The sequence below is a fragment of the Homo sapiens genome, chromosome 15, assembly GCF_000001405.40.
Source record: "Homo sapiens chromosome 15, GRCh38.p14 Primary Assembly".
NCBI lineage: Eukaryota > Metazoa > Chordata > Mammalia > Primates > Hominidae > Homo > Homo sapiens.
This window is the reverse complement of record NC_000015.10, coordinates 39,677,196-39,702,467: the sequence shown is the minus strand read 5'-3', so window position 1 is coordinate 39,702,467 and position 25,272 is coordinate 39,677,196. Positions and strand designations below refer to the sequence as shown.

The 25,272-nt window shown below is 37.6% G+C and overlaps 1 protein-coding gene across 8 annotated transcripts in view; it reads left to right on the top strand.

Moving 5' to 3' along the window:
* Nucleotides 1-25,272, top strand: part of FSIP1 (fibrous sheath interacting protein 1) — a 185,402-nt gene that overhangs the window by 80,374 nt on the left and 79,756 nt on the right. Inside the window, exon 11 of one of the 8 annotated variants that reach the window (XM_047432212.1) lies at nt 4,833-8,348. The exons of the other annotated variants lie outside the window; for them this stretch is intronic. Coding sequence (XP_047288168.1) covers nt 4,833-4,946 — 114 coding nt within the window. The 3' untranslated portion in view covers nt 4,947-8,348. Of the gene's footprint in view, nt 1-4,832; nt 8,349-25,272 lie in introns of those variants that run through there. 8 annotated transcript variants of the gene reach the window in all.

Below are 25,272 nucleotides of genomic sequence, written 5' to 3'. Positions count from 1 at the left end.
AAGCCTGAACATGCTAGATAAAATATTTTTTAAAAAGTAGTTTTAAAAGCATGGCTGAGCTGGCAGAAATGTAAGGGAATTCCTTGGAGGGTAGGAATGACAAGACACTATGTGTCAGGAGGGGTAAGTGACCATTGGAACAAGCATTGGTCCCCGTGGTATCTGTTAACCTCTAAAGGCCTAAAGTGTGGGTTTTAACCAGGCATGTGTAGGGAGCACAGGAAACAGAGCCCAAGACAGGGTAAAGGTCAAGTCAGAGCTCCCACATAGAGTCAGCACACCAAATGGTTAACCCCGAGTGGAAACACTAGGAAGAATCTGCTCTGGAGAGGGCATGGTGGGGACATATATAACTGTCTCTGCTTTGGTTGTGGGAGGAATGGAAAAGAGAAGTCCCCCATGAGAGTTACCAACGATAAGCCTGCATGAAGGTAGGCTCTGGGTTTGAGTTCATACCACCTGTAGGGCCAAGTTGAATGTTCAGTTGAAAATGGTCTTGGATTGGCAGTAATCCCAGCTCCTGGTAGAAGGAAAGGGAAATCTCTCTGGAAGAACACAATAATTTAAACGTAGACCTTAATAAATTCCCACAAATAAAACTGAAGGGCCTTGAATCCACGGTAGAGGACTCCTCCCATCCCCAACACATAAAGAAATAAACTATCATGAGCAATCATTAATTGAAAAAACACACTATAGAGTCAGTTCCACGTAGACTGCAGAGTTTGGAGTGGTCTATTTCAGAATGTAAAATATGTCTGTTTAATATATTTAAAGAAATAAAATGAGCTTTGAGAATATGACAAAGATTTGAAATGAAACCAGATAGAATTTGTAGAAATGAAAATATAACGTTAAGTGGACATTCTTGGAGTTAGACCTTCCTTGATCCTTTAAACAGGATCCTGGCACTTACATCTATTTTCCCTTCATCACTCTATAGCTTTTTTAAAGCTTTGCACCATCCCTCTAGTGAGAACAACATCAGTTTTTCAAACCAGTCAGAGAAAAGTTGTTATATGTTTCTCTAGAATAGCACGTTAGCCTCTGAGACCTGGGGCAGAAGGAAGAAAAAGAGATACATTATAATCACACACAACCTACATGTGCAAGAATATTATTTTTTTGCCAATAAGGTGGATTTTTTTCCAACTTTTTTTTTGCCCTTCTTATTGCCCTTCTTAGCTTCTGCTCTTTGTTCCTTAGAATGTTAATTCTTATCACCCCAACTTTTTACATTGAACAGTTTATTAATTGGAATACATGCTATGTTTACTAAATAAGTGTGCTCCCTGATCCATTAAAAAATTTTTTTTAAGACAGGGTCTCACTTTGTCACCCAGGCTGGAGTGCAGTGGTGCAATCTTGACTCACCGCAACCCCTGCCCCTTGGGCTCAAGTGATCCTTCCACCTCAGCCCCCCAAATAGCTGGGACTACAGGCACGCACCACCATGCCCAGCTAATTTTTGTATTTTTTGTAGAGGTGAGGTCTCACTATGTTGCCCAGGTTGGTCTTGAACTCGTGGGCTCAAGCAGTCTGCCTGTCTCGGCCTCCCCAAGTGCTGGGATTACATGAGTGAGCCACTGCATCCAATCAAAGCTGTATTTTAAATGGGAACTCACCTGGAATGGCACAAAGATTCTGTGTCCCAATTTTTGGGTTCAGGAAATCTATTCATCCTTTGCAGATGCTCAAGAATCGTTGTGTAACTGGATTCTTCTGCTGAATTTATATGGGGACCTATGGGCTGCATAGTGGAGTAGTGAAAGCCTTGTATAGACACTGGGGTGGGCAATCTTTCCTCTGTGCTCAAGGCCATAGGACATCCCTTCATATGTTTGTAGTAATTTTCTCTGGAGCTCAAAATGGAAAGCAATGGGCTGATTATTATTTTGACAGTCATAATTTGTGACCAGACTTTAAAAAAACATTGTGGTCAATGATGTTGCACAATTACTTTTTGTCTGTCACATAGACAAAACAAATCCAGATTTAATTCAATGCAAACAAATAAATAAAATGCTCTGCTAAGAGTATAGAGTCAAGCTTTTGATCTAGTGGGAGAGGCTGAGACTGATCGAAAATATAAGGCAGAAATAAATGACATGAGAGAAATAGAAATAAAGTGCTATATTTGATCAAAATAGAGAACAGTTATAGCAGAGCGATTTGGAAAGGCTTTGTGGAAAATGTGAAATCAGAATTGAACCTTGAGGAATGAGTAGGGTTTCATTTGGTATAGATGGGGGTGGGTGTTACAGAAAGAAGACACTTTGTGGAAAAGGGCCAGCTTTTGGAAAGCTTGGGCCATTACAGGGAACAGAATTGATCAGTAACATTTATGAATTAATCATAGAAAGTTCTGACTTTTTGCCAATGCCATAAAGATATATGACATTTTAGAAACTTGAATTTTGCTGAACCAAGAACTTGAATCAGGCTTTCTGCAGGGCTCTTGTTTGGGAGTGAATCACGTAGTGAGTGAGTGAGTGCTCCCAGCTGAGGGCCTGGCATCCTCAGGCAGTGCAGCTCTCCCATTCTCAGCTTGGCATGGTGTAGGCCTTAATACTTGTGAACTACTGAAGCTATGTTTCTATGTCTTTTAAAAAAATATCTTCTAGTGGCAGTGATTGAAAAACAGACAGTGGTTCTTATTAGCAACAACAGTGCTTCAGAAATTTGAGTGGAATGCTGAATTTGGTATTGGATCAGATGGGTGACAGGAGTGTGGAATTTTGCAGATGACTCAGGAAGAAACTCGTTTTCACATTGGAGGTCTGCTTTCATCCACTCTGGATGACAGGAAATAGAAGGAAGTAAAATTATAAAAGTAGAGTGAGGCCATGTTGAATAGCAGGCTGTGACTGGTGGATAAAGTTTTCTAAGCAGCTATTTGATTTAATATGAACTAAACTTTTAGAAAAGATATTACTGGCAGGTTGATTATACTTTTACTATCAACAAAGATACATGCTGAAAGTTGTTGTAAGAACTATTCAAAAAAGTGGACGTTCAATAAAATGAAATGATCCACATAATAGACATTATATTCTCAAAGTTTCCATTCTCCCAACTTTGTATCCAACATTAAGATTGTGAATTTTGTTGGATTTTTCTTTAATCCCCTTATCCCTAGGCATTTATTCGTATCTCTAACAAAATTGCAATAATATTTGTGAAAATATAGCTATGGTACACATTAACAACTGCAAATCCATTTACCGTTCTTCCTTACTGATAAAATTCTAGTTAAAAATGCTGTCTCAGACTCCCTTGTAACTAGGGTGACCACATAAGTTAGTTCTGGCCAGTCAGATAAAAGCAGAAGTCTCCTGATAAAAAGAAAAACCGCTGACATGTGCCTTTTGCCCTTCATCTTTTCCCTTCTTAGTTGGAGCATAGATACACTGCCTGAACATTCAGGAGGCATCTTGAGACCACAAGGGCAGGTCGGAAAGACAGAGGAGGCTAGGGCAGTTGTCCCATCATAAAGCTATTGCATCACCTCTTATCTGTTTACCTCTGACCAATTTCTTAAGTTGGAAAATAAACCAACCTTGGTTATGCCAGGCAGGTCATTGGGTTTCTTTTATGAAAGCAATCCTAACTGATACAGTAGGCCACTTTTGGGCAGGTATAAAATGGTTAACATTCCTCCTGGTGCACTGGGAGAATTCAGGGAATGAATGAGTTTTGCAAGGGAATTGTGGTGGCACTTTAGTGTGTTTGCCCTGTGGGAAGCGAGTTTGAACCCCAAACTGAAAGTTACGCCATCCACCAGCATTGGCAAACTATAACGCCACTCCACTGCTCAAGTGTATGTGGCACAAAGGGGCAGAACACCGCTGGGGAAAACACTGATCACGAGGAGTGCAGAGTGCTCAGATTAAAGTAGAGCTAAAGCTTCTAGTAAGCACAGACGTTAATTTTGGGGAAAAGGAGTAACTAGTGGCAGGTGTTTTACCGAGTGTGGTAGAGGGAGCAAATCTCTTGAGTAATGCCACTGATGAAGACCTATTATTTAAAGAGAATACTGAGTATTTGCAGAGTTACAGAAATGGCAGTAAGAATCTCGACATGATGAACTAGCATTCCAGACCAGCACCATCCAACAGAAACACAATGCAGCCACATAAGTAATTTTAAATCTTCTGCTAGTCACATCAAAAAGGCAAAAAGAAGCAGATGAAATTATATTTAACTCACTATAGTCAAACATCATTGTGACATGTAATTAATATAAACATTATTAATTGTATATTATATATATATACAATTAATATTTTATATATATATATATTTGAAATCCAGTGTGTTTTGTACACTTTCAACACATCTTGATTTGGACTCAGCCACCTTTCAAGGTCTCCATTGCCCCATGTGGCTAGTGACTATTGACAGGGCAGTTTCAGAGTAGAAAAAGGTGATTTATGTAGCACTCAGATACATTGGTTTATTTTTTTTTTTAAAGTAAACATTTCCCCAACATTCTAATTTTCTAGGGGTATAGAAGAAACAGGCATTAGTAAGATTCTAGGAGAGTCTAAAAATAGTGAAGAGAGAGGTCCCATAGAAGTGTCTAGCTGTGTGTTTTTAAAGTGAGTCTGACATGGGTTGTTAGATTTGATCTAAAAAATGATGGCCAAGAAATGAAAATTGAAATAAAAGATTTATTGAAACCATATGTGTAATCTTGGAAAAGAAAGAATACGCTCAATTTCACATCTTGGACATATTGAGAAGTAGGAGAAGTGTGTCTTTGTAGAATTATTCACAATGTCTATCTAAAATGATGGAAACTTTCTTGTTTTATTATTTTTCTGTTATAGGCTTTTCTTAACTTGGGAGTGACGAGCGAAGACGAATTTGGGAAGCACAGGGCAGAGTGTCTTACTTCATTCTTATATGCTGCTGAGCTTGATGTCGACTCAGTTTGTATTTGATTCCTGAAGTTAGAATATCTCAGAAATCTTTCTTTGGGCAGTATTTGCTAATGTAATTATTATTTATCCCAGTTCATTCCATACATTAAGTATTCTGGAAGGGTATTTAACTCTTCACATTCTTATTGGCCAACCAGTATCTAATACATGGAATGAGGTTTCAGGCCCTGCCTCCACTGAGGCGCTTCCCACTGGGAAGTACTAGAGAATATTTTTAAAGAGTCTCTGTGGACACACAGCAAGTTTTAGGTTTTTTTGTTTTTGTTTTTGTTTGGTATATCTAGAAACACACTTTGTGAATGTGAAAGGTTCTCTTGTACCCAACTAGAAATAATCACTGACTGCCTCTGAAGATAATGATGGAGAATTTGTTAAAAGATTTCTCTTTAATTATAAAGTGGCTATGCAAATGTGATTACAGTTTAAATTTATTTTCGTAGTGAAAATAGCTTTTGGGGGCATTCAGGCATTCTAGAAAAATATAAAGAAGAAAAGAAAAATTATGCATACAAGCATAGTTAACACTTGGTCATGATCCTGTCTGAGGTTTTCCCTATTCACACATACCCCAAATGCTTACCTTCCCCCATCCCAACACACACACACACACACACACACACACACACACACACACACACACACACACACACAGACACCCCTTCCCCCTCCTCCTTTCCTCTCTTCTTCAATCTCCTTCCCTCTCCTCTCCTTCCTTCCTCCTTTTTTTGTCTTTTTACAAACCAGGATCATATTCTACATACATTTTATAGCCTGCTTTTTCACTTAACAATACATTATGGTACTATATGAGTGTGTCTATTGAATGAGGCCTTTCTCTGTTCATTTCTAGTAATGTCCAATATTGTTATTATAAACCATGACAGAGTGAGCATTTGTTTAATTATTGTCTTAGGATATATTCTTAAGTGGAATTGCTGAGAGTGTATGTGTAGAGTTTGGCTGTGTGTTGCCAAATTGTCCTCCAGAGAGGTTGTGTAATTTATTCTTGCACTAAGAATATTCTAGAGTGCTATACCTATAGTGTTAGTATTCTTTTTCTGCCAATCTCAGAGTTTAAAAATGATATAGTTGCTTTAATTTATATTTTTTTGGTTCCTAGTAAATTTGGACATGTTTTCAGTTGTTTATTGGCAGTTTGTGTTTCTTCTTCAGTGCATTGCCCATTTGTATCTTTTTTCATTTATTTATTTTATTAAGGTATTCTTTTCGTTTTGTATTGGAAAGCTGTCTTTATATATTTAAAACATATACTCTTTGTCACATATGTTACAGATTTTACTACCTCTAAAGTGTTAATTTTATTTACTGTTCTACAATATTGAAAAGTTTTGCAAGGTGCTATTTTTCTCTCTTATTTTCATATGGAGTCATTTGTGAGAAATATATGCTGGGTATTGCAGCCTGCTTTTTGTTTCTTGAAGTGATCCATCAAAAGCATTTATATACTTTCATGTATAAGCCCTGCATCATCTCTAGAGTGTGTTTTGAGTAAGTAATGTCAATGAAATCACCATCTAATTATGTTCTTGCGAAAGCGCCTGCTACTACCTTTGAAGTTTGCTGCTAATCTCTTCTTACCTTCATTTCTTAGTATCTAAGGTTTAGATAAGCAGTGACAATTAAAAACATAGAGGAATGTAATTTTTTTCTTGAGTGAGTCTACTTTTAATATTTGAATTGAATGTTAGCAAGAAGTAGTAAGCTCACTGGTTTAATTTTTATTTATTCTATCTCTACGTTGTGTGCAAACACACATGATCAACATCAATGGCCTAAGATTATCCTTCAGAAAATTTTCTTAGCAACTCAAACAATGTCCCGTAGTCAGTGGGCTCCTAACAGTGTATTAAGATTTAACTATCTGTCAAAAAGCAGGAATTTGCATAGTGTGGGAAGTCTACCCATTGTCATACTTCTGCATATGAAAGTAATATGGTAATATTGAATTTGACTGTGAAAAATAGTAACATTAAATTTGTGTCCATAAGAATTTAAAATTATATAGGGGACACAAATAAATATAACTCATGGGAGTATATAAACAATAATTTAAAGGCTTTGAAGGGTAAAGTGTGTAAAGTAGAATGTGATACTTTGGCAAGAAAACTTTATAGGCAGAGTGTGAGTTATCATTTAGAGAGAAGGAGCAGAGTGAGGCAAGCAGAAGAGGAACAGTTGGGTACTGGGTGCCACGGGGTACAGATGGGGATTGGCAGCCATGGAGGGGAGGCTGACAGAGAACACCAAAGGCAATTAAACACCAAAGGCAATGACCAGAAGTGTATTTTGATGTAGAGGTCAAGGACTAATCCCAGGTAGGCAGCTAGTACCTTTTCAAAATGGTGGGCATGGCATGCCTATTGCATGCAGTTTAAGAAAATAGGTGAAATGCTGGCATATGCAAATGTTAGGGAAGTACAACCTACATAAAAGCAAGACAGAGCTCTAAAACCCTATTGTTCTATGATTCCGTTTGCTGGGAAAATGTAAACCCTACTGACAGCACATCTCTGTTACAGATGTATGGGCAGATAAATGGGCTAAGAAAGAGATTATGTGATTGATTATGACCTTTCTATATTGTACCTGACTTACATTAAGTATGTTTTTAATACTCAAAACTAGTTGACTAAAAATGCCTTTAAAAATGAGTCTTTATATATATATATCTTTTTTTTATTTTTTATTTTATTTGTTTGTTTATTTTTTTTGAGACGGAGTCTCACTGGCTGGAGTGTAGTGGCGTGATCTCGGCTCACTGCAACCTCCACCTCCCAGGTTTAAGCGATTTTCCTGCCTCGGCCTCCTGAGTAGCTGGGATTAGAGGCACCCACCACCATACCCAGCTGATTTTTGTATTTTTAGTAGAGACGGCGTTCCCCATGTTGGCCAGGCTGGTCTCAAACTCCTTACCTCAAGTGATCCACCTGCCTTCGCCTCCCAAAGTGCTGGGATTACAGGTGTGAGCCACCATGACCGGCCAAAAATGAGTCATAATATAATTCAAACTTTGCACGTAAATATGTATAAAGTCATGAACTTACATAGTGACTGAGGATTTTGTGTATATAATTTGAGTCTTTTAAAAGTTGACTTTGTTTTATAATGCTTGCTGGTTTTAGCCATCTATTTTAAACCATATGTTCCCTTTAGACAAATTTCATAATTCTTAAAACTTTGATATTCTGATTTCTATATTCTTGATACTGAGTTAGGGAATTCCTAGTGATAACTCATAGTAAATTAGTAAATGCAATTAGATTTCAAGGTCTCCATGGCTATGATGGTTACATACTAAAATCCTTGAATTAGAGTGGCCAAAAAAAAAAAATAAATCTCTTGGTATCATTTGCAGAGAATAATTATTCCTTTATTTATATAGTGCATCATAGTTTGCAAAGTGCTTGTTACTGCAGTTTTTAAATTTATTTGACAAATAATAGTTGAATATATTTATAGGGTACAGTGTGGTCTTTTGATATGTATATATATTGTAGAAAGATTAAATCAAGCTGATAAATATATATCCATCACTTCACCTTCTTATCATTTTTTTTTGTGATGAGAATATTTAAAATCTATTCTTCTATGTTCCTTCAGTTTTTGTTTCATCTTCATGAAAACCTTAGAGGCAGGTGGCATAGCTATCACTACCTCTATTGTTACAGATAAGGACACCAGACATAGGGCTTTGGTGACTTGTCCATAACCCACATCTGACTTCCAGGAGAGTTCTTTAAACACACACAGCCTCTATCACTATTATTTGATTACAACTCCTCAGTTAGATGATACCTGAAAGCAGTTTTCTTGATTTTCTTCTCCTTTGTATATAGTATTCTATTTTGGGCCTTAGCAGAGTTGATATTCAAATACAATATTTGAATGAATTCTTTTACTGAGAAAGGTAGTAATATAGTCCACCTTAAATAGATTGCTAAAATACTTAAATCTTATTCTGGCTGATGTTTTGGAAAAATTGGATATAGGGACAGGTCAACAACCATGCGTTCAGCTTGATTCCTTCGCAGAGACTTATTGTAGCAGTCAAACACAGCGAATAAGGTGGGCAGACAAATCTTTTAATTGGCCCATGATCATGGAGTGTGCCTCAGTCATTAAATAAATCTGCAAGGGCACAAGAAGTGGTTGCTTCAAATCATTTTTATACTGTTTTTGTGGCTTATATACTTGGCTGTTCAGGAGCTACCAGACCATAAAATCCAGCCAGTGAGAGCATTGGAAGTCACGGAGCTCAAAGGTTGATTACGTGGTGTGAAACTCTATTGTTTTGTGCATGTGTTAAATAATTGCTGTCAGTGCAAGACTGTTAAAAATTCCCGACTAGTAATAACATGAATGCACTTTATGGCTTCAAAAGGAGATAAAAGAAATTTCTTAGTCAGCACTTTGGCGGCATCACAGCTAATGTCAGTTTTGTTATTGTGAGGACTTTACTTTTGGCAGATGCTCTCCCTTCTGGCAGCAGAGCTCTAATTACCATATAAATTAAGCTGGGAAGTGAGCGGAGGGCATGCAACTCAGCCCCTTCTGCCTTGTACCCAGGTTTCCAGGGCTGCAGTGCCAGGCAGGCGTAGCGTGGGCTGACGCCATGGAGAGGGCTCCACTCCCCTTCTCCCCTTTCTTCCCATTCAGATCCATTAGAGGGACATTAAGCGGCTTAGCTGCTGTGCAAACACAAAGATCATTCTTTTTTCTTCTTCTTTTCTTTCTTTCTTTCTTTCTTTTTTTTTTAAACCTAGGGTCTTCTCTCTAATAGCATTCCAGGAATTAGCCTAATCCATCCTGCTTTAATTCATAGGCACTAATTATATTTCAGCATACATTCTTACACACTAAATTATAAGTATCCTTACTTTAATCAGTTGTAACTGGTCCTTAAATTGAGGGTTTAGTACTCTCCTTTTATCGGATAACAGGCTTTGCTGTGTTATGTGATGGGATTAAACTGTTTATTTAGGATGTAGAATTGAAGACGTGGATGATGTGTTATTTTTTTTCCTAAAGTGCTCTGTATTTTCTTCAGCCAGAGTGTATTTCAGAACTTCATAATGACCTTTTATAATTTGTAAAATGGTGTCTAATGTTTAGGTCCTTTTGGGATGTGAACTGACAAGCACAATTTGTAGAAACATAATTATAATGCAGGTGAATAATCGTTTATAGTTGCAAAGCATTTCACACATAAGCTATTCTGTTTGGTATTTAAGTAGCCCTCCAGGTGGGTAACTGAAGGATTCCTGTGAGGTGGTCACTGAAGGCCACATAGTTGGTAGTGCAGCTGGTGTGGCGTACAAGTCTCATCTCCCTCTGGGGGTTCTTTCCTTCCACCTCACACTGCTTATTGACTGGAGTTCCCCCTACATTACAAAGCACCTAATAAGATGATCTTTTCCTATCAGCATTAAAAATTTTTTTTTTCGACTTTGTAGAAAATAATCCTTTTGCAGCACTTAAAGAGAATCACTTGCGGGCATTCTGTAAAATTTTACATTTTACTGACAGCACAAAACAGGAAATTGTTTTTTCTTTTTGGTGAGTAATTGCTAGTCTAGCTTTTAAAATTCTCTATCTATCACTCGCTCTCTATCTATCTATCTATCTACCCCCTCACAGGGCTTTAAGCCTCTTGAAAGAAGTATAAAGAAGATAGACTGATGACTGTCCCCCTGGTAACTGGCACTTCAGAGAGGGTGAGAGAATTCACAGATAATTCTCTTTTCTGAGCTAGGAAGGAGTCACATTAGTTGAGAGACTTTATCACTTTCAGTCCAGTACTTCCCCAGCCCCATGAAAAAAAGTGTACCCATCAAACAGTCCCCTTCTGCCATCTTTATCTTATCAGGATCTCTCTTCTTTAATAGATGAGACTCTTTGGAAAGGACTTTAATTGGCTGATGCCACAGACTCATCCCGGAACCTAACTTCTTGAAGAAGAACATTCTGCCTTAGTTTCAGGCAGGACGACTGCGTCACTGTACACTGTCCAGAGGTGACTGGCTGAGGGAAAGAAGTGGCTGAAATCTGCTGTGTTCCATTTGATGAATGGTGCTTGCTGGCACACTGCTTCTTCTTACACAGGAGGCTCCAGTCACTGGCCAAGCCTTGCAGTGGGGCGACTTTCATCTGGGGCCACTGCCCTGTTGCTGGCACTCAGAACAGGAGCAGTTGCATCCCCATCTACTTAGTCACTAAAGACAGACATTTCACTTCTTTTTTTCTTTTCTTTTCTAAATTGTGAGGAATGTCCAGGCACTTGCTCTTTAGGTGGACATGGAAAGTCACCCTTCCCCAAAGACTGGACTTAACCCTATTAATTATGCAAATATAGTGCAAATGAGTAACCATGATTCTGGGAGAAGAGTGACAGGAAATTGGTGGCGAGACAAAGTCTCACAGTGCTGATTGCCTGTATAGGGGCCAAGGAACTTCCTGGAGGAAAGGCAGTCCAACTCTAGCTCCTTTCTCTTTTTTGGCTCAGTTTTACTCGAACCTCTCTGATGGATTGATGTTGTCCCAGCAGAGGTCCCTTGGAAAGAAAGGACTCCAAGGGGCCCAAAGGGAAACTCACTATGGAGAAAGGAGAATGTTGAACTGGCTAGCATTAGGGCCTTTCTAGGCTCATGAAGGAGGGCTTGTGGCTGAGCCTGGGTTTCTGGCACAGTATCGATCCTTTGACAGTGTATATGAGTTAAGGTAAAGCAGCAGTCCCCTGGGATCCCAAGTGTGAGGCATCACAGTTGTCTTTGCAGGGATCTGGAACACCAGGGTTTGTGGCAGCAATGGACAAAAGTAACAACTCTATGGTTTTACCAGGAGCTGCAGCAGCTAGAAATGTGGACTCATCTTGGACTCATCAGGCTTTCTATTCTGTTTCGACCTGGTATTTGGAACCAGGACAGACCTCAGCATTTTTCAACAATTTGGGGTAGGGCTGTGGAGCAGCTTCAGGAGGGAGATACTGGAATTGTTGCTAATAACATAGACTAATGGGGTCTCAAAACCAATGAACTGGGAAAAGAAGAGATTGGACTATATTTTTACCCCACAGTTATGAAGGGAGTCATATAAGTGTATTCTTCCTCCTTAATGTCTTTCAAATCCTTTATCTCTGTCTTACCACATTAACTGCTCCTTCTGCAACTAGTCTCCTCAGTCCATTTCCACACTGCTGCAAGAATGATCTTTCCAGAATGCAAATATGATATGTCACTCCCCTGATTAACATCCTATAATGGCCCTGTAACCATTTAAGATGAATCCAGATTCCCTGGCTGGCTGTACGCTTTTCAGTCTCATCTCTCGCCATAGCTCCCAGTCCACCCAGCGTGCCCACCACTGTGAACTACTTGCTGTTCCCTAACATACAAACCTTCTTTATGCCACTGAATCTTTGCACATGTTATTCTTCCCTGTTTTTCACTTTCTCATTCTTAAAGGCTTATTCAAATATCTTCCCCTTTATGGTAGAAAAACTCCACTCCATATCATCTGAATCCCAACATTAAAGCCTAATACATGGGTACTGACCTTCTACCTAAAAGGCTGGTTTTGAATGAGTGATTTTCAGTATGAGAAATGAATGACTCAAGAAAAGCCGTATCAGAAGAAGAAAGGTAGAAAATGATAATGGACTCAAATGATTCTCCATTTGCTTCTAACATTTTCTTTTTGAGGACTTCAGTGATTTATGCCATTTGTGTGGACATTTAGATAACTAATCTTACTATTATTATAAATACAGTAATTTGATTAAGTATGTGTGATATTGTGATATAATAAGAAATACATATTTAGTCTTTGTCCCCAGTTCCTGGCACAGAATTCCTAAAACCTTTGTAATATCCTGAGTGAGAGGGGTGATAGGAGCAACTTTTGTTATAATAGTTGGTCTTGGTCTTCGGTTCCTGACACAAGACTTTCTAAGACCCTTGGACTCTCTGGAGTGAAAAGAGTGTCTTGTTTGCTAATGAGATGACTGGTGACTGGAGGCTCCTAGATAATTTCAGGATGAAGGCTGGTCACTGGAAAGACCAGAGCATGATTAGAAGGTTGGAACTTTCAGTCCACCCTAGATGTCCAGGGAGGGGAGAGGGTCTGGAGATTAAGCTCATCACCAATGACCAAAGAATTAATCAATCATGCCTATATAATGAAGCTTTCATAAACACCCCTAAATCATGGGTTTTGGAGAGCTTTTGGGTTGGTATACATGTAGAGGTGCTGGGAGGGTGGGGTGCACAGAGAGGACAATGACATTCTGTGCTCCTTCCACGTACATCTCCCTATGCATCTGTTCCGTTTGGCTGTTCCTCAGTAGTATCCTTTATAGTAAAGCAGTAATAGTAAGTTAACTATTTTCCTGAGTTCTGGGAGTCATTCTAGTTGTTGAACCTGAAGAGTGGATCATGGGAACCTCTGATTTATAATTAGTCAGTCAGAGAGTCCAGGTCAGAGAGGCCTGGGATGTATCTACCTGACATCTTCATATGTCAAATAACTCATCCAAACTAGTTAATGCCACTGAAAATTCTTGGTGAAACAGACCTCTAGAAAATACACTTCCCCAATTTTAAATTGTTCTTAGTAATTCACTAAAATTTAGCCTATGAAAATTTTTCCAGTGGTGGGCTCTACTTAGCAGGCACAAAACTGGAGAAGGACACCACCTCACCCACAGGTGTTAGGCAAAGAGATTGGGTGCTGGGTCAGAGCCACATGAAGCAGGGTTTTAGAGGGCATAGGCCTGTATGTATTTGGACACTCAATGTGGAACAGGGCTGTGCTTCTGCATAGGACTTAGAATCTGGAATAAAAATAGATATTTTTCTCTGCAGTCCTATACCTTTGCTACCCAGTTTTAAAAGTTTGTGGCTTTCTAGAAATCATAGTACAGATGGTCCCTGATTTATTATGGTCAATTTAATGATTTTTCAACTTTATGATGGTGCAAAAGCCATATGCATTCAGCAGAAACCTTAACTCGAATACCTATACCAACATTCTTCTTTTCACTTTAGGTACAGCTTTCAAGAAATTACATGAGATATTCAACACTTGATTATAAAATAGGCTTTGTGTTAGATGACTTTTCCCAACTGTAGGCTAATATAAGTGTTCTGAGCATGTTTAAGGTAGGCTGGACTAAACTATGATGTTCAGTAGGTTAGGTGTATTAAGTAAATGGATTTTTGGCTTACTGTATTTTCAACTTACAATGGGTTTATCAGGATGTAAGCCCATTGTAAGTTGAGGAGCATCTGTATTCTGATCATTGTCATCTCCCTGAAGTTGTGGTTTCTTTTAGGTGTGTATTTTGTGAATGCATACGATTGCATCGACTGGTCTGATTTTGTCAGCAGTGACTAGTCTGTCTACTTCTACTTTGTATTCAGAGAGATTACCTATAAGCAGAGTTGGTAGCTTCCTACCAATATAGTTCCATGGATGCTTGGCAGGCCCCTTAGCCTAATAATATGCCTCTCTTCTGATTCCTAGTGCTTGAAGTTCTTTGGCTTGGTTTGGTTCCAAATTTTGGGAGTTAGAGATTCCTTTAAGAATCTCATTAAGGCTGTGAACCTCTTTCCTGGAAAAATGCTCATATAGATGTACATAAAAATGTGTTCTTGAACTCTAAAATTAAGAACTCCTGTGTTAGGTAGAGGTAAAGTCTTTCCACAGTTAGAGAAGAGGCTTAAAATGTAAATCAGGCAAGGCAAGAGGATACATTCATTAAACAAGCATTGATTAAGGGCTTAATGTTTACAAACACCATGGGTAGGTTTTGGGCATACAGATTAAGACCTGGTCTTCTTTCTTGACAAACTTTTAGCTTGGTAGAGGAGGCCCTCATGTAGACAGAGAGTTACAATGTGAGGTATTCAGGCCTGAAAAAGAGGTGGATACAAAGTGCCAGGGAACCAGATGGGAGGTAGGGACCAACTCTGCAAGTGACTGGCTCATGTTTACCTTAGAATAGAAATGGCTGATTCTAGACGCTTGCCTCAGTCAGTTTAGAAAGGTGAAAGCTGGGTGCGGTGGCTCACGCCTGTAATCCCAAGACTTTGGGAGGCCAAGGCGGGTGGATCACCTGAGGGCAGGAGTTTGAGACCAGCCTGGCCAACATGGTGAAACCCCATTTCTACTAAAAATACAAAATTAGCTGGGTGTGGTGGCACATGCCTGTAATCTTAGCTACTTGGGAGGCTGAAGCAGGAGAATTGCTTGAACCCAGGAGGCAGAGGTTGCACTGAGCCAAGATCACGCTATTGCACTCCCACTCCAGCCTGGGCAACAAGAGCAAAACTCTGTCTCAAAAAAAAAAAAAAAAAAAAAAAAAAAAGGAAAAGAAAAGAAAGAAAGAAAGGTGAAAGGGCATTGGGTGTCAAAAGCAGGAGTGTTATTGAGTAAGAGGCTGCAAAGCAGGGAAGGACACAGATTGGAGAGAAAAGGAGAGATTGAGATTGCCAAGGAGAAACCTCACATTTAAAAGGTTTACTTGGGACCCAGCCATTTGTAGCTACCTGAAACTGGGATGATATTTTGCAAATAGATACAGACAAGTAGGCAGAACTGTCTGCCCCATTCTCCTGCCAACAACAAACAAAACATAAAACATAATTCCAAATAAGGGAAATGCCCATTACTCAGACTTTCCCTTTGAATCTAATAATGTCACCCAAGTCTTGAGGAATTTGCTAATTGTTTGTAGATCCTACAAGGTCATAATCTAGACCTGTTTTAAAAAATCTTTTAAAACTTCAATATATTTATTTGAAAGGGATGAAGAAATGATATACATTCTACCCAGTCTGCAGGATTACTTGACACTTGCCGTCATAGGCTGGGACTCAAGAAGTATTAGAGGCCACCATTTGTTTTTTCAGTTAGTCACAGCCTTTGCTCACAGGGCTTTTGAAATTATTTTAATTCAGTTACACATATAGTTGAAGCTACAAATTTATCTCAGTTCTACATTGTAATACTGGAACAATGCATTGCCAAGGGGCGATAAAGTCAGAATACCAATTTATATTGACAGTTTGGTGAGATATTCTTCTGTGATTATACACCAAAGCCTTAGATGTAGAAATTAATGGGAAAAGTTTTTAATTGAAAATGTATTTTCTCATTTTTTAAATTTATTTTTTGTTAAAGTGAGGCACCTGGGTTTGAATTTTATACTGCTAATACTTTGGGAAGGCCATAGTGGAGGTGGAAATATGGTTTTGAGATGAAGCAGTGTGAAGGTGCCACCTAGTGGTCACATAATCACGTCTGTGTTCTCTTTCTTGCCAGTGGAAATTGGGTACCCGTGGTGGGTTTCCTAGAGAATCCCCTTATAGGTGGTGAATTCGGTTAGCCTATTGCTGTCCTTGATAGGATAAAGTTTTTACTTTTACTTTGTGGTCACTGAAATTATCATCCTCCAAATTTGTTATTTGAAATTAGTTTTGTTAACTGGACAGCTCTTGTTACCCTTTTTGCTAATATTTTTAGCTAATTATGTCAGCAAAAACTTGGGTTAAATGTTAAAATTATAGTGTAATCATAGTTTCCCATTCCATTGGAATGGTCTGACATGTAATGTACAGAGAGCATGCAGAATGTCTGGAGTGTATCGTGGGACACAGCTAAAGCCTGGGTGATGGCCAGCTGCTGTGAGGTTTCATTAAAGGCCTTTCTTGTTGTTTTGGGATTAATCTCTCTTTAGTAGAATGCTGTAGAAGAAAAAAGATCAATAGAAAAACTCATCTTTTGTATAAAAATTTTTTTTTCAGATGAGATGTGTTCAGTAAGCACATACCTCATTAGAGAGATGGCAATGGATGGCTGACTACAGTCATTTCTTTTCTTTACCCTTAAACTACATGTAACCCAGAATTGAAACATATACTTGTATTGAGGTTTTCCAAAACAATTAGTGATAGAGATCTTAAGAAGGACCAGAATTCCTGGAGGGTGTTGTATGTTTTGTTTTCTCAGTGCAAGACATCTTTGAGGTTTCCTTTGCCATCAAAGGCTTTCTATGTGTGTTTGTTGGGGATGGCGGGGGGATTTATAGGAAAGGACTTTCACTGAGATATAAAATAATTTTCCCCAGGAGGATTTTTACTTTGCTAGTCTTGTTTTGGTATCTATTTTGGGCAATATTTACATTAAAAACTTAACATCTGGTAAGTACTAACATTTTATCTTTATCACACATGAACAATTTTTTTTTGTCATGGAAATCCTCATGGTGGAATTAACTAAAACATTATAGAAAGTTCAGGAGGGCTCTTCAGAACAACACAAACTTTAACTAAAAACTTTCCCTAAAGATGCTCTTGGAATTTGCAAATGCAGCCCAGATAGCACACCAGTCATTTAGATTTTAAAGTATGTGCTGCATACCCAACCTTGTCCTAGGTGGACATTGCTGAGAAAAATACACAAAAATAGTGTGATTTGTAGGAGTCTGGGTTCTCAAGGTCCTCAGAAGAGGCAGTACTGAGGCAAGTACGGAGCCAGATTGCCTGTGTTTGAGTCCCTGCTCTGCCCTGGACTAGCTGTGTGACCTTGGAGAAGTTACTTGACCCTCTATGCCCCAGTTTCTTCATCTGGGAGAGGGGATACTAATAACTTGCTTTGCAGGGTTGAGTGGAAAGCACTTAGAACAGTGTCAGGATATATGGCAGGAACTCCATCAATACAAGTCAGCTATTTCCATCCTCACCACATGGTAAAGCCCAGGCACCACACACAGGAGGACAGTTTAACACTGTATTTGATTAAGAAATGTTAAGGCCACTTACTAGAGGAGTTCATAAAAGAGAAAGCAGTGTAGGCTGGGGTATTTAGGAAAAGACATTCTATTTTAGGATTTGACATTCTAAAATAAAATTTATTTTTAAAGCAGCTTTCTCTATTTGGTTTTCAATTAAGGAGATCAATTCATTAGGATTCTTGGTGCTATTTCCTTCTATAGGGTTAAGGAAAAAGAGTAAGATTTCCCTTGGTGCGTCATTCACTTTTTATTCATTGAGCAGCTATTTATGGACTATGTGCTCTATGCCAAGCATTGAGTTTGAGTGAGCGAATGAGACAGGCAGGAATCACAGCTGTAGTGTCTGTTCTCCAGCCTTTTAATAATGTTCCGCATGTGCCTCAGTGACCTTTCCAGATTCCTTATATTTGGTTTATTTTAAATTTTATTTTTAAAAATTGTTTATGATGAAAAATTTCAGACACACATGTGTCTGTTCCTTTGCCAATACCACACTGTCTTTATTGCTGTTGCTTTATATTAAATTTTAAAATCAGCTTATATGATTTTTCCAATCTTATTTTTCCTTTATCAAAATTGTTTTGGTTATTCCAGTTCTTCTGTCTTTTCATATAAATTTTAGAATCAGCTTGTCTGTACCTACAGAAAATCATGCTGGGATTTTTATTGGGATTGCATAAATTTATAGATAAGTTTGGTGAGAACAGATGGCTTTATTATGCCGAATTGTCCAATTCATCAACATGGTATGCCTCTGTATTTATTTAGTCTTCTTTCATTTCTTTCAGCAGCATTTTGTCATCTTCAGCATGTAGATCCTGTATGTGCTTTTTGAGACCTGTACTTAAGTATAAATTGTAACACTGTAAGTGGTATTTTTTCTTGGTTTCTAATATGTGTGTTTTTTCTTTTGGTTTCTATGTATACAAGAAGTGTATATATAGAAAAATGGTTAATTTTTGTGTTGAACTTTATCCTGTGAACTTGCTAAAATGACTTATTAGTTCTAGAAATTATTTTCCCCTTGATTCCTTGGGATTTTCTCCATAGCCAGTCATGTTGTCTGTGAATAGGAACAACTTAATTTATTTCAAATCTGCATGCCTTTTATTTCTTTTCCTTGAGTTTTTTTCTTGCATTGGCTAGAACTTCTAGTACAATGTCAAGTAGGTGTGGTGGGAGTGGACATTTTTGCCTTGTTTCTGGTCTTAGGGGGAAAGCATTCAATCTTTCACCATTAAGTATTATGTTAGACGTAGGTGTTATCAGAATGAAGAAGGTCCCTTCTATTCCTAATTTGCTGAGAGTTTTTTTTTTTAAATCATGAATGTATGTTGAATTTTGTCAAATGCTTTTCTGCATTGATTGATGATGACTGTTTTTCCTTTTAATCTGATAATCTGGTGGATTACATCGGTTGTTTTTTGAGTACTCATCCAGTCTTGCATTCCCATGACAAAGCCCACTTGGTCATGGTTTGTATCAAGTTTTGAAGTTCCAGCTGGAAATCTCTAATAAGGGACCAGCCAGCAGAGAACAAGTAGGCTTGTGTTTGGACCAGTGTTTTGGAAACAGTTGGCTCACTGGGCTAGTGACCACCCTGTTAACTTCTGCTGACCTGTTTTCCAAGAACCCACCTGGTACCAACATGCCTTTACTGCCAGTGTATTTTGTTTCCACCCTTCTTTTGACTTATATTTATTGTTATTCTCTTTCCCTTTCTGTACTGGACCAGGAACTTCCATCAACTGGAATCATCTCTGGGCATCTTCGTCTTCCATTTGTGTTTTAATTTATAGCAAGAGAGTTTGGGAATAATCGTATTTTAAGAAACCAACATTTATTTAAATATAAACACATGTGATTAGAGTATTAAAATTTAAATGCTATTAAAAGTTTTTGCAATTTTTGTCATTTCATGAGGCAAGAAAAGAAAATATACGGGTGTCTTGTTATATGTAGTCTTCTAAGATCTGATTTTAAATTGCAATTTATTTTGGAAGGTAGTGGAAACAAACCAGAAAGTAATGTAGATGTTTGCTTGTGGTTAACATAATTTGCCTGCCTCCTCAGAGGCTAAATTCCAAGGAATTTTGTTTTCTGTATTCTTAAGTCTAGAGACACAATGGTCCAGAGATCCCTGTGAAAGGGAGCCCTCATCCGGGGAGCCCCAGCTTGCACAGTCACCCCCTCACCCCTTCCTGGGGAGCAGTGAGAATGCCGTGGGCTGTGCCTGCACTGAGAATGCTGCTTTTCTGTGAAAACACAGTCAAGTGCACATGATAGGTTTTAGTTCCCAAGCAGTGTTAAAAGCAAATGTGTGGGGTTTTATATTTCCAGCTGCTTTTTTTTTTCCAAAGTAAAATATGTAGGTTTTGGTTTGCAGCAGGCCACATTTCTTCTAATAAAAACAGTTAGAACAAAATGTGTTTTATAAGCATATAAAAATGTCAGACCATAATGATTTTAGTGTTGCATATTTAAAAATGGTCAGTAATATTTAAGACATAAGTATCTGCAAAGAAAGTGAATTATGGAAAGTAAATTACAGTATATCATTTGTATAAAGGAGAAGGTGGTTGGAAACTTGTCCAGGAACTATATTGAGACCATTTTATTTGCATTTCTATATAATATGCATGCCTTTCAGCTTTCAGTTAAATTTTGGCCCCCAAATTATTAAACTTTTATACTTGCAACTGGGCCCCAACATTTAAAAAAAATCCTGTTTGTGTCTGGACACACAATTCATTTTGTGAAAAAGCACCTTCATTCTGTGGACTCATTAGAGAAAGCATCTCAGTAGGTCCTGGTGCCAAAATCAGTTGTGCTTCCTTCTGAACCATTCACTTATTATTATCTGATGGACACTCTGAGCTCCTTTTTGCCTTGTCTGCTAGGAAGCTTAGAAAAAAAATTCAGGGTATCTGTAACAAGGCTACAGAACCTGAGCCCATGTGTTTTGCACACTGACTGTACATCTGGAATCATTTTCATCTTATTTCTTTCACCTTTACTTTCCTTTTTGCTTTCAATTTTTTTCACTTAACTCTCCTTCTGTGTTATACTGTAGTTGTTGTTATAAGCTGCTTTAAATCCATATTGGAATAATATAGTTGGAAATAGATTTTTAAAAATTGGTATGTTTCTTTTATTATTTTATCTCTATAATTACATTTCTCTAGCACTTTGACACTTTTAATCATAACTTACAATTGCATTCTCATAAAAAATAAAATTCCAAGCAGGAAAATTTCTGATACCCATTATGACATGTTTTAAAAAATCTTTATTGTCTCTTTAGATGATAAAAGTAATACTGGATGATTATAAAAATTTCAAACCTTATAAAAACATATAATGTAGAAAATAAAGGTCCTCTATAATCTCCTCCTGCTGAAAAAAAACAAAAAACAAAAAACCAAAGCCAAAAAACTATAAACCTTTTGGTGTATAACTTTATGGCATGACTTTAAGTTGCATTGTATTGGAGTGGCAGTGGGAATGATTTCTTTTTCCCCTGTGAATCTTGGCTGTATAACTCTTTCTTCATTTCTGTGCTATGATGCAATTTTTTTTTTCTTCTTCACAGTCCTGAAGATATGCCAGTTAAATCTGGGGGACATAAAACTCAACGTTCTTGGAATGCTTTGTAGAAGGGGGTCGTGGCTGGTCTCCATCCCAGGCAAATGGAATTTATTGTGTATGTGGCTGTGGCTCACAGCCTGACCATGGCATCAGCATCAGATAGGCCTATGTTCAGGCCCTAGTAGCTGAATGACTCTGAGAAAGTTATCTTTTCTCCATAAGGCCTGGCTTTCTGAGGATAGGAATAATTGCTTGAAACTGTTACTGTCTTGAGCAAATGAGAGAGTTTATATAAAGCTCTTAGCACAGTGTCTGGTATGTAGTAAATGCCAAATAAATGTTAGCTATTGTATTATTTTGACTAATAATTGTTATTTATAGAGAAAACTCAAGTAATCATGGTACAAACAAGATAGATATTTATTTCCCTACTATCTACATGGCTAGAATGAAGGTCCAGGCCTGACTGTGGTTCTACAGTTACCAAGGACCCAGGCTCCTTGTACCTTGATGCTCATGTATCTACTATTTCATGGCCTAAGATGGCTCTGACCATTTCAATCAGATTCTAACTAGGGCAAAGATCATGACTGAGAAGTTGTGCGTAATATGTATACTCACATCCCATTGGCCAAATCTTAGTCATGTGACCATACACAGCAGCAAGGAAGGCTGGGAAATGAGTCTTGAGTTAAGTGACTGTATGGGCAACTAGAAATTATGATACCATGTCAAAAGAAAACAGACATTGGGAGGCAACTCACAGTCCCTGCCACCCCATCTATAGCATTGTCTGTCAGATGCTCTGAATAAATACACTCTAAGAACTGGTTCCTGCTCTATTATCTATGCATTTATCAGATACTTTTGTAAACTTGTTTATATTCTCATCTTTTGTTGGTTTTTGAGATAGTGATTGCTAGATGTTTATTAATAGAATTTTTTTTCTTACATTATTATTATTTTTTTTGAGACAGAGTCTTGCTATGTTTTAAGATCTCCCCATGGTCTAGAATTTCAGGCCTATTCTTTGCATTTCCCCAGTTCTATCACTGGCATGTTTTAAGAGGTGCACTTTCTTCACTGAAATTAGTTAAGTACTGTGGGAGCTTGCTCAAGAGTTCACTACTTCAGATTAATGTTGTATAGACTTCAGTTACGTGGTTATAAACGTTCAAATGAATGCTAAGTTTCAGGCCTGAAAAAGCTGAAGGTTTATAATCTATAAATAATATATTTGGTACCTTGTGGCTATTTCAAATAGTAATGTTAAAATTTGCATTTGTGACAAGTGGAAAATTATGTAGCTAGGGAGATGCCTGTGATGACGTTGTTTGTGATAATGTTGTTTTCCCCCCTTAATCAATTAATACTTTTTTTGCATTGAATAATCATTAAAATGCTTTAGCATAAATATTCCTGTCAGTAACTGCAATATTCTTGCATATAGTAGTAAATTCTCCTGTTTGATCAGGTTATCTTTACATGAGGATTTTTGTTTTTTGTTTTATTTTGTTTTCAGAGACAGGGTTTCATTCTGCTGCCCAGGCCAGAGTGCAGTGGCCTGATCATAGCTCACTGTAACCTCAAGCTCCTTGGCTCAAATGATCTTCCCACCTCAGCCTCCCAAAATGCTGGGATGACAGGCGCGAGCCACCATACCTGGCCCAGAACTCTTATTTTTAAGTTAGATTCCAAGGTTGTCTCGGCTGAATAGTAGCTGAGCCTATGACCAGAATTTGGGTATTCTCTTCCCCTGTCAGTTTGTCGGCGCAACAGGTCAGACAAATGCACAAGGCCTTACAATATTTGTCTTGATGTCTTTGGCTTGTAAAGCTAGATTTTAAGATATTCAGGGTTCCTTATTCCTTAGCCGTTAGCGTTTTTGGACTTCTTGGCTACTGTAATAATTATTCTGAACCATTCTCCATCTTTCTTAAAAGTTTAATATAGGTTATCTGAGAATAGAACTTCCTAAGAATTCATAAAAGGCAAATTTAGCTTGTTTTAATTAACAAAGAGAAAAACTGATTCAAAGACACTAAACAGCTTAGTAAACTCTGCTGAAGAATGAACCTGTGTATATGGATAGCTGAACACCCAGACAAGATCCATTCTTTTCAATTCTGTTTTGAGACCTTTGTAGTAGGGACTTTCCCTGGATTAAAGAAAAAAGATAACAACAATAACAAAACAATACCCAAAGAATTAAAAAACCTAAAAACCTTTTGCTGGCCTATCAGTGAATCAATTCTCCACTGTTTAATTTTAGTAGCTTTTGTGGTTTGGTTTGTATGGACTATACAGGGAAGCAGACTGAGGCTATGTGATTTCAGATTGTTTTCCAATAGGGATGGAATGTTTTCATCAGATGAGCCCAGAATTCTGATACAGTTATTGACTTTAGGGAGTGATAACGTAAAACAGCATTAAAAAAGGAAAATACCATACCCTTGTTAAGAATTAGTAGTAGGATTTTATTTTTAGAAAGTAAAATTTGGAAACAACTGTATTTGTTTTCTAGTGTATATTATTTTAAAATATTTTAGAATATTTTTGTAAGGTATGTTTCCCGATTACATTACTCTAAATACGAATGTTTTTATATTTCCAATAAAATATTCACTAATATTTACCTTTCCAATGAGATATTTTACTTGCATGACTATTTTTAAAGTATGTGCTCATTTTGGTGGAGTTGCTCTTGTGGTGGTTAAACCATATTTGTGTATTTTCCTTTTCCTTATGAAGGTCTCATTTCTGAATTATAAGACTAAATATCAAATGCTTTTTTGTGGTTGTCGGATAGTTTCTAGATAGAGCACATACGCAAATGGAGTATGTTTATTAATTAAAATTATTTATATTTCATTTTTAATAAAATTTTAGTTACTTTTGTAAATTTTAAAGTATATCAGCTAAGTTCTATTTATTAGCAAAATATGTTAACAATTTGGTGTATTTTCACACTTTTTTTCCTACAGATATAAATATACTCATGCATATGTATATAATACATTAGAATCTAGGTGTATATATGTATTAAATATACTGGACATATTATGTTACATTATGAAAATTTTCCTTGTCAATAATTATACTTCGTAAACAGACTTTTTTTTTTTTTTGAGACGAATTCTCGCTCTGTCACTAGGCTGTAGTGCAGTGGTGCGATCTTGGCTCACGGCAACCTCCAACTCCCTGGTTCAAGTGATTCTCCTGCCTCAGCCTCCCGAGTAACTGGGACTACAGGCATACACCACCACACCCAGCCAATTTTTGTATTTTTAGTAGCGACGGGGTTTCACCATGTTGGCCAGGATGGTCTCCATCTCTTGACCTCGTGATCTGCCTGCCTCGGCCTCCCAAAGTGCTGGGCCACCACGCCCGGTCGTAAACACACTTTTAAATAACTGCCTAGTACTACGTTCCTTGTGTGATTTATGACATTTTATCATTTCTCTGTGATTGAACATTTAGATTTTGTGCTATTAGATATAATACTCTAACAAACATCCTGTATATGTGTCTTTGTGTCTCTGGTTATTTCCTTCAGATAAATTCCTAGGGGTAGAAATACTGGTTTAAAGGGGTGTGAAAATAATTTTAAAAGTGCTTGGTATATAATACCAAGTTCATTCATTCAGTCAAAAAATATTTTCTAAGCACCAGAATTGAATCACACCCTTGGGATACAACAAGGAATAAGACAGTCCCTGTTCTTAACTCACAGCCCAGTTGGGAGGACAGAAACATATATGGGGAAGCTCAAGCCTGTTCTCTCCAGAAAGCTCATATGAATTCATATGTCACCAACATTGTCAATACATGCAAGTGGTTTTGGAATGTGTATGTTTGTTCTTTTGAAATCTACTGATTTCATCATGGAATACTTTTCTGAAAAGAAAAATATTTTTATTTTGGTTA